Source organism: Homo sapiens, chromosome 10 (assembly GCF_000001405.40).
Source record: "Homo sapiens chromosome 10, GRCh38.p14 Primary Assembly".
In the NCBI taxonomy this organism is placed as follows: Eukaryota; Metazoa; Chordata; class Mammalia; order Primates; family Hominidae; genus Homo; species Homo sapiens.
In genome coordinates, this window is record NC_000010.11 from 74220004 (window position 1) to 74229296 (window position 9293).

General features: G+C 37.0%; 1 protein-coding gene across 13 annotated transcripts in view, besides 1 other annotated feature; it reads left to right on the forward strand.

Annotated features, from left to right (window-relative positions):
• The window catches only part of ADK (adenosine kinase), a 558070-nt gene that overhangs the window by 68783 nt on the left and 479994 nt on the right, over window positions 1-9293 (forward strand). For 12 of the 13 annotated variants that reach the window (NM_006721.4, NM_001369123.1, NM_001202450.2 and 9 more), the window contains exon 3: window positions 4535-4588. The exons of the other annotated variant lie outside the window; for it this stretch is intronic. In NM_006721.4, coding sequence (NP_006712.2) covers window positions 4535-4588 — 54 coding nt within the window. The remainder of the gene's footprint in view (window positions 1-4534; window positions 4589-9293) is intronic. 13 annotated transcript variants of the gene reach the window in all.
• Window positions 7934-7983: an enhancer, noted in NCBI's record as "active region_3594". NCBI's record gives its function as "activates an Ori minimal core promoter by ATAC-STARR-seq in GM12878 lymphoblastoid cells {active_cell/tissue: GM12878}" and the evidence as "EXISTENCE:reporter gene assay evidence [ECO:0000049][PMID:35858748]".

The following is a 9293-nucleotide window of genomic DNA, read 5'->3' on the forward strand; positions in this document are numbered from 1 at the left end:
AGAAATAACTAAAATCAGAGCAGAACTGAAGGAAATAGAGACACAAAAAACCGTTCAAAAAATTAATGAATCCAGGAGCTGGTTTTTTGAAAGGATCAACAAAATTGATAGACCACTAGCAAGACTAATAAAGAAAAAAAGAAAGAAGAATCAAATAGACGCAATAAAAAATGATAAAGGGGATATCACCACTGATCCCACAGAAATACAAACTACCATCAGAGAATACTACAAATACCTCTACGCAAATAAAGTAGAAAATCTAGAAGAAATGGATAAATTCCTTGATACATACACCCTCCCAAGACTAAACCAGGAAGAAGTTGAATCTCTGAACAGACCAATAACAGGCTCTGAAATTGTGGCAATAATCAATAGCTTACCAACCAAAAAGAGTCCAGGACCAGATGGATTCACAGCCGAATTCTACCAGAGGTACAAGGAGGAACTGGTACCATTCCTTCTGAAACTATTCCAATCAATAGAAAAAGAGGGAATCCTCCCTAACTCATTTTATGAGGCCAGCATCATCCTGATACCAAAGCCTGGCAGAGACACAACCAAAAAAGAGAATTTTAGACCAATACCCTTGATGAACATTAATGCAAAAATCCTCAATAAAATACTGGCAAACCGAATCCAGCAGCACATCAAAAAGCTTATCCACCATGATCAAGTGGGCTTCATCCCTGGATGCAAGGCTGGTTCAACATACGCAAATCAATAAATGTAATCCAGCATATAAACAGAACCAAAAACAAAAACCACATGATTATCTCAGTAGATGCAGAAAAGGCCTTTAACAAAATTTAACAACCCTTCATGCTAAAAATTCTCAATAAATTAGGTATTGATGGGACATATCTCAAAATAATAAGAGCTATCTATGACAAACCCATAGCCAGTATCATACTGAATGGGCAAAAACTGGAAGCATTCCCTTTGAAAACTGGCACAAGACAGGGATGCCCTCTCTCACCACTCCTATTCAACATAGTGTTGGAAGTTCTGGCCAGGGCAATCAGGCAGGAGAAGGAAATAAAGGGTATTCAATTAGGAAAAGAGGAAGTCAAATTGTCCCTGTTTGCAGACGACATGATTGTATATCTAGAAAACCCCATTGTCTCAGCCCAAAATCTCCTTAAGCTGATAAGCAACTTCAGCAAAGTCTCAGGATACAAAATCAATGTACAAAAATCACAAGCATTTTTATACACCAATAACAGACAAACAGAGAGCCAAATCATGAGTGAACTCCCATTCACAATTGCTTCAAAGAGAATAAAATACCTAGGAATCCACCTTACAAGGGATGTGAAGGACCTCTTCAAGGAGAACTACAAACCACTGCTCAATGAAATAAAAGAGGATACAAACAAATGGAAGAACATTCCATGCTCATGGGTAGGAAGAATCAATATCGTGAAAATGGCCATACTGCCCAAGGTAATTTAGAGATTTAATGCCATCCCCATCAAGCTACCAATGAGTTTCTTCACAGAATTGGAAAAAACTACTTTAAAGTTCATATGGAACCAAAAAAGAGCTCACATCGCCAAGTCAATCTTAAGCCAAAAGAACAAAGCTGGAGGCATCACGCTACCTGACTTCAAACTATACTACAAGGCTACAGTAACCAAAACAGCATGGTACTGGTACCAAAACAGAGATATAGATCAATGGAACAGAACAGAGCCCTCAGAAATAACGCCGCATATCTACAACTATCTGATCTTTGACAAACCTGAGAAAAACAAGCAATGGGGAAAGGATTCCCTGTTTAATAAATGGTGCTGGGAAAACTGGCTAGCCATATGGAGAAAGCTGAAACTGGATCCCTTCCTTACACCTTATACAAAAATCAATTCAAGATGGATTAAAGACTTAAACGTTAGACCTAAAACCATAAAAACCCTAGAGGAAAACCTAGGCATTACTATTCAGGACATAGGCATGGGCAAGGACTTCATGACTAAAACACCAAAAGCAATGGCAACAAAAGCCAAAATTGACGAATTAAACTAAAGAGCTTCTGCACAGCAAAAGAAACTACCATCAGAGTGAACAGGCAACCCACAAAATGGGAGAAAATTTTTGCAACCTACTCATCTGACAAAGGGCTAATATCCAGAATCTACAATGAACTCAAACAAATTTACAAGAAAAAACAAACAACCCCATCAAAAAGTGGGTGAAGGACATGAACAGACACTTCTCAAAAGAAGACATTTATGCAGCCAAGAAACACATGAAAAAATGCTCACCATCACTGGCCATCAGAGAAATGCAAATCAAAACCACAGTGAGATATCATCTCACACCAGTTAGAATGGCAATCATTAAAAAGTCAGGAAACAACAGGTGCTGGAGAGGATGTGGAGAAATAGGAACACTTTTACACTGTTGGTGGGACTGTAAACTAGTTCAACCATTGTGGAAGTCAGTGTGGCGATTCCTCAGGGATCTAGAACTAGAAATACCATTTGACCCAGCCATCCCATTACTGGGTGTATACCCAAAGGACTATAAATCATGCTGCTATAAAGACACATGCACACGTTTGTTTATTGCGGCGCTATTAACAATAGCAAAGACTTGGAACCAACCCAAATGTCCAACAATGATAGACTGGATTAAGAAAATGTGGCACATATACACTATGGAATACTATGCAGCCATAAAAAATGATGAGTTTATGTCCTTTTTAGGGACATGGATGAAATTGGAAATCATCATTCTCAGTAAACTATCACAAGAACAAAAAACCAAACACCGCATATTCTCACTCATAGGTGGGAATTGAACAATGAGAACACATGGACACAGGAAGGGGAACATCACACTCTGGGGACTGTTGTGGGGTGGGGGGAGGGGGGAGCGATAGCATTGGGAGATATACCTAATGCTAGATGACGAGTTAGTGGGTGCAGCACACCAGCATGTCACATGCATACATATGCAACTAACCTGCACAATGTGCACATGTACCCTAAAACTTAAAGTATAATAATAAAAAAATAAAAATAAATAAAAAGTGAATTTTAGGCCATTTTCTGTTACTTAGAATACCTGAAACTGGGTATTTTATAAGAAAAGGAATTTATTTCTTACAGTTATGGAGGTTGAGAAGTCCAAGGTCAAAGGGCTGCACTTGGTGAGAACCTTCTTGCTGATAGTGACTCTACAGATTCCTGAGGTGGTGCAGGGTATCACATGGCAAGGGGCCTGAACCTGCTAATGGTAGCTCAGGTCTCTTCTCTTCTTTTAAAGCCACCAGCTCCCCTCCCATGATAACCCATTAATCCATGAATGGATTAATCCATTTATGAAGGTGGAGCTCTCATGATCCAATTACTTCTTAAAGGCCCCAGCTCTCAATATTGCCCCGTTGGGGATTAAATTTCAACATGAGATTTGAGGGGGGTCAAATATTCAAACCATAGCAGTGGGTTTAAAGGTACTTGTGAAAGAGGAGACCAGAGAGGAAAATCAACATGACCTTTCAAATGGACCTATGATCCATTTTCAGGCAGATTAATTTTAAATTTTATGAAAGGGTTGAGTATGAATGAGAATTGAAGACCTGGGAATTGTTGTCCATTGTTGTTTATCTATTTCTGTGTACCCTTCAGAAAGTCTGTTTACCTTCAGCAGTACAAATATATGGTACTGTGAAAGATCCCTGATCTAGTATTTATAGCAACCTGTATTTTATGACCAGAGAAACTGAGACTTAAAGATGTAGAGTACTTGCCTATGGTCACTTAGCTAGTAAATGGTCAATCAAAAACTCCAAAACTTGAGGCCGGGTACGGTGACTCATGCCAGTAATCCCAGCAATTTGGGAGGCTGAGGTGGTTGGATCACTTGTGGTCAGGAGTTCCAGAGCAGCCTGGCCAACATGTTAAAACCCCTTCTCTACTAAAAATACAAAAATTAGCCAGGCATGGTGGTGCGTGCCTGTAATCCCAGCTTCTGGGGAGGCTGAGACAGGAGAATCGCTTGAACAGGTTGCACTGAGTCAAGATCGTGCCACTGCACTCCAGCCTTGGTGACAGAGTGAGACTCTATCTCAACAAATAAACAAACAAACAAAAAACACACAAACCCTCCAAAGCTTTTCTTTCCCTCCTGTGTCATGCTACTTAGTACATAGCCTGGTTCACAGTATATGATTACTATATATTTAATGAATGATTTACATATTATTTGTGAAGTCCAAAATACTTAACGTTGTAGTTGTTCCATCAGTTTTGAACTGCTGAATAAGTGTGACATTACAGATGATTCACTACAGAAGAATATTGAAGATCTTCAAAGCATTGTTAAGGTGATCTCCTTTCAGTTCCTGGAGTGGTGTTCCTGGAAATGACTAATAGAACAGCAAAAAACCGTCTACTTGGGCATTCTTGGTGTTTTATCAATTAAGTCAGAGACCTATAACAGTGTTGGAGTGCTTGTTTTGAAGAGGTCAGCTAACTTACGTTGACACTGTGTGTGTATGAAGAGTGTAATTTTCGTTTCTGTTATACAGGTATTCTCTGAAACCAAATGACCAAATCTTGGCTGAAGACAAACACAAGGAACTGTAAGTGCATTAAACCATTGGTTGTAAATAGTTTACTCTGTCTATGAACTTGATATATGTATATGTAAATTATCTGATTTTCAAAATTATATAATGACAAAGTATAATTAACACTATGACCTTAATCCTAACAATTATGATAACCTACACTATATAATTTACACTACATAAAGTTTACACAGGACATAATTTCTCCTGTATTCACATTAAAAGATGTAGTGTTGTATTCCATCATCTAGACTAAAGTCTTACTGGGAAATATGTCATGCTATTTTCTCTTTCCAGATAAAATATTAAATTGTTCCTATTTTCTTTCTGACTGCTCTACCAGAAAAAAGTAAAAAATAAAAATAAATTGTCACTCTTAATTTTTGGGTCTTACTCCGGTGGATCACCCACCTTCATGGTAATGATAGACAAATATAATTTTGTTTCTGTCACTGGTTTATGCAAAAGTAAATGTCAATTGTTTGGTACAAGGTAAAACACTTTATTTTATTTTTATTTTTTTGAAACAGAGTCTTGTTCTGCTGCCCAGGCTGGAGGCGCAATCTCGGCTCATTGCAACCTCTCATTCCTGGGTTCAAGCAATTCCCCTGCCTTAGCCTCCCAGGTAGCTGGGATTACAGGTGCCCGCCACCATGCCTGGCTAAATTTTGTATTTTAAGTAGAGATGGGGTTTTGCCATGTTGGCCAGGCTGGTCTCAGACTCCTGACCTCAGGTGATCTGCCTGCCTTGGCCTCCCAAAGTGCTGGGATTACAGGTGTGAGCCACTATGCCTGGCTGAAGACATTTTATTTTCACATCTAACTCAGGTCGCTCTTGGTTTAGTTTAATGTAACCTTCACTTGTACTCATTTATAGGGACAGTAATTTTTTTTCGTAGAGGACTTCAAGACTATTATTTTCTTCTTGAGATTAAGTAATAATTTTTTTCCAAGTACTTTTAAACTGCTTTTTAAAAACTGTCTTGAACCTTTTGTAAATTATTTTCTTCTCTCCTATTTAAGGTAACATAAATTGTTAATTATAAAATGGCAGGACCAATGTTCAGGGAAAGGATTTTCTTATGCGTTCTTACCGTTTACACATTCCACTATTATGCTAACCTTTCATCAGTATTTTTATATTTGGCCTATCCTTATTTGAGTATAATCTCCATAGTGGGTTCTCAAATATATATATTGTCAAGAAATTTTTTTGCTCTTTCTTTATTTCCTAGTATAGTCAGTGAGGGCCGGTGATTGTTACTGTAGCATTGGTTGGTTATTATTTATAGGTCTGGTAACAGAGCTTCTTTTGCTTTGGGAATTAAGTAGTTGGTGAGCCTTAAAAGTTCCTTTAGTCCTTAGACTATGACCAATATTAAAAATACCAGAAATCTGCTTTTAAAGAATATGTTATTTAATATGTAACCCATTTTAATGTTTTAATTCATTTGAAAGTTTTTTTAACTGTCCAAGATATAATTCATCTCTATGGGTATAACTTGGCGAACTGATACTTTTTTCTTACCTTTTTTTTTGTTTTTTTGAGACAGACTCTTGCTCCGTCACCTAGGCTGGAGTGTGGTGGCATGATCTTGGCTCACTGCAACCTCTGCTTCCTGGGTTCAAGCGATTCTCCTGCCTCAGCGTCCTGAGTAGCAGGGATTACAGGCACCCGCCACCATGCCCAGCTAATTTTTATATTTTAGTAGAGATGGGGTTTCGCCATGTTGGCCAGGCTGGTCTTGAATTCCTGACCTCAAGCGATCCACCCACCTCAGCCTCCCAAAGTGCTGGGATTATCACAGGCTTGAGCCACCGTGCCCAGCCCCTACATTTTATTACGAAAAGTTTTAAACATATGTTATGTGTTCACCCATATATTTACCACCAAGGTTTTATCATTAACATATTACTGCACTTGTTTTATCTATTTATTCTTCTGTTCGTGCATTACTTCATCTGTTTTTTGGATGCATTTCGAAGTAAATTGTAGACATCAATATGCTTCTCTCTAAATATTTCAACACATATACCATTAACTAGAGTTTTATATTTCAAAGTTTTTTTTTTTTAGTTTCACCTGTTCTAAAATTTCTTATAAACTGAGTCATATATATGTCCTATTTTGTATAAGGCTTCTGTCACTCCCTGTGTTTTTGAAATTCATCAGTGTTGTTGCATATATCAGTTAATTCCTTTTCATTTTTGCAGATTAACATTCTGTTGTTTATTTGTTCTATTATTGCTAAGTATTGCCACTTGTTTGATTTGTCATTATTGATGGTCTTGATATTTTTGGCTGCTGGCTCTCTTCCTTGTAGTTTTTGACCTACATACCAAAGAAAACTTTCAGTTGAATATGGCACCATAAAAGCAGAGTATTAATTTTAAAAAATTAAAACAGTTATTGAATTAATGAATTTCATGAATTATGAAAGCTGTTTATAAATAATCTCATTTGTGTCTTTGCAACTCAAATAGCCAAAATCTTGGTAGGGTGGTGGTCATGGAAGTCAGAGTCTGCTAAGGAGTGTATAACAACTCACCTGCTGTATTAAAAACAAAAAAATCTTTTTGTGTTCAAGACTAAGCTTTAAACAATATAAGAGATATGGATATAAAACAAAATTTTATCTAATCAGTAATTCCATGCTTTATTCTCATAAAACATTATTACAACTTCTTAATTTCAGTCTGTTAAAGCTTGATTAATTATAAAATTGTAAAAATGTGTTGGCACCATCACATTGACCTGCTCTTTGAAAATTAACCCTAATTCTATAAGAGTACCAATAAGAGAGTACAGTGATAGCTCTAATTATCTTGATATTAATAAATAAAGAGTGGCCTGGCATGGTGGTTCACATGTGTAATCCCAACACTTTGAGAGGCTGAGGTGGAAGGATTGCTTGAGGCCAGCAGTACAAGACCAGCCTGGGAAACATAGTGAGACCCCATCTCTACGAAAAACTTAAAAAAGGCCGGGCACGGTGGCTCACGCCTGTAATCCCAGCACTTTGGGAGGCCGAGGTGGGTGGATCACCTGAGGTCAGGAGTTCAAGACCAGCCTGGCCAAGATGGTGAAACCCTGTCTCTACTAAAAATACAAAAATTAGCCAGGCATGGTTGTGGGTGCCTGTAATCCCAGCTACTCAGGAGGCTGAGGCAGGAGAATTGCTTGAATCTGGGAGGAAAAGTTGCAGTGAGCCAAGATCACGCTACTGCACTCCAGCCTGGGTGACAGGGCGAGACTCTGTCTCAAAAAAAAGAAAAAAAAATTAGCCTGATGAGGTGGTGTGTGCCTGCAGTCCCAGCTGCTCAGGAAGCTGAGGCAGGTAGATCTCTTGGGCCTAGGAGATCAAGGCTGCAGTGAACCATGATCATTCCACTGAGCTCTGGACTGGACAGCAGAGTGAGACCTTGCCTTTAAAAAAATAAAAAAAGAATACCAATAAGAGAGTACAATGATAGTTCTAATTATCTTGATATTAATGAATATTAAGTATGTTTTCATTAAAACATTTTTAGTTCCTGAAATTTTGTGATTCAGATTTCATATACACTTAGTCACTGATGCTTCACGAGTATACTTGTTTCTCTGTCTGAGGAAGATTGGCATGGGAAAACAGGGAAATATTGGTCAGCAGTGACACTTGTTTTTCTAAGCAAAGTGGTTTTTCTCAACTTCCTGTTTTTCATTATTCTACATACTGAAGACCTTGGGGGATGATTTTAAGTAGAGAAAGCTGAGCAATTCAAGTTGTGATGTGATTTATCTAAAACTATAGGATTTATAGTTTGTTCTATACATGATCCAGTAATCAACTGGTTTCATTAGCTTTCTAGTTTTTTTCAGTTTTAGTTTTGTAAATGGAATAATTTAAAATAAATTAGGAAAACATCACTATTTTACTAAGTATTTTTTCACCTACTTTCCATTGTGCTAGGCATTAAAGAAAAGATAGTGTGCAGCTTTTTATATGTCAATTATACTTCAATAAAGCGGTTTAAGAAAAAGTAAAAGATACTGATTTTATTTATAAATGGAATCTTACTCTCCAATAGTGGCTTTTCAAAATCTTTGGACACATCTGCAGTTATTGAAAATAGAACCATTTTGTTTCCATGAATATCTATTTTATGAATATATAAATTTTGTATTACCTTGGATTATGAGATCTGATCATATAGATTTAGGTAAGGAAAGTTAAAAGTTGTCTGGAGTTAGGGGTGAATTCCAAATGCAAATATAAATAAATTCAGAAGTATCCATACTACTTAACACAGAGTAACCTGGTATCTGAAGATTTTTTTTTTGTTTGCTATAAGGCAAGGGGAAAATCTCTTTAAAAGGGATTCACATTTATTTACTTGGCTTTTTAAGATAGCTACCAAGGTAAACAGTGAACTTTTGTAAGCAGTGTATACTGTTCTAAATATGAAGTGTATTTTCCCTTCTGATAGTGAATGAATTCCATTATGATTTTTTAATGTCAAAAATTAAATTATTTTGTCAGAATAACCCCTTAAATTTTTAAATGTTGTCTTATAAAAGTTAATTATATTGTGATATTTAAATGCTTGCCAATTTACGATTATGATGAGATGGAAGAAAATAAATAAATTATGCAATAGGCATGAACCTTCAAGGGTATTAGGACGTGCTCAGGATATGATCTTTGGTGCAGTGTAAAAATGTAATTTCTTAGTGAAT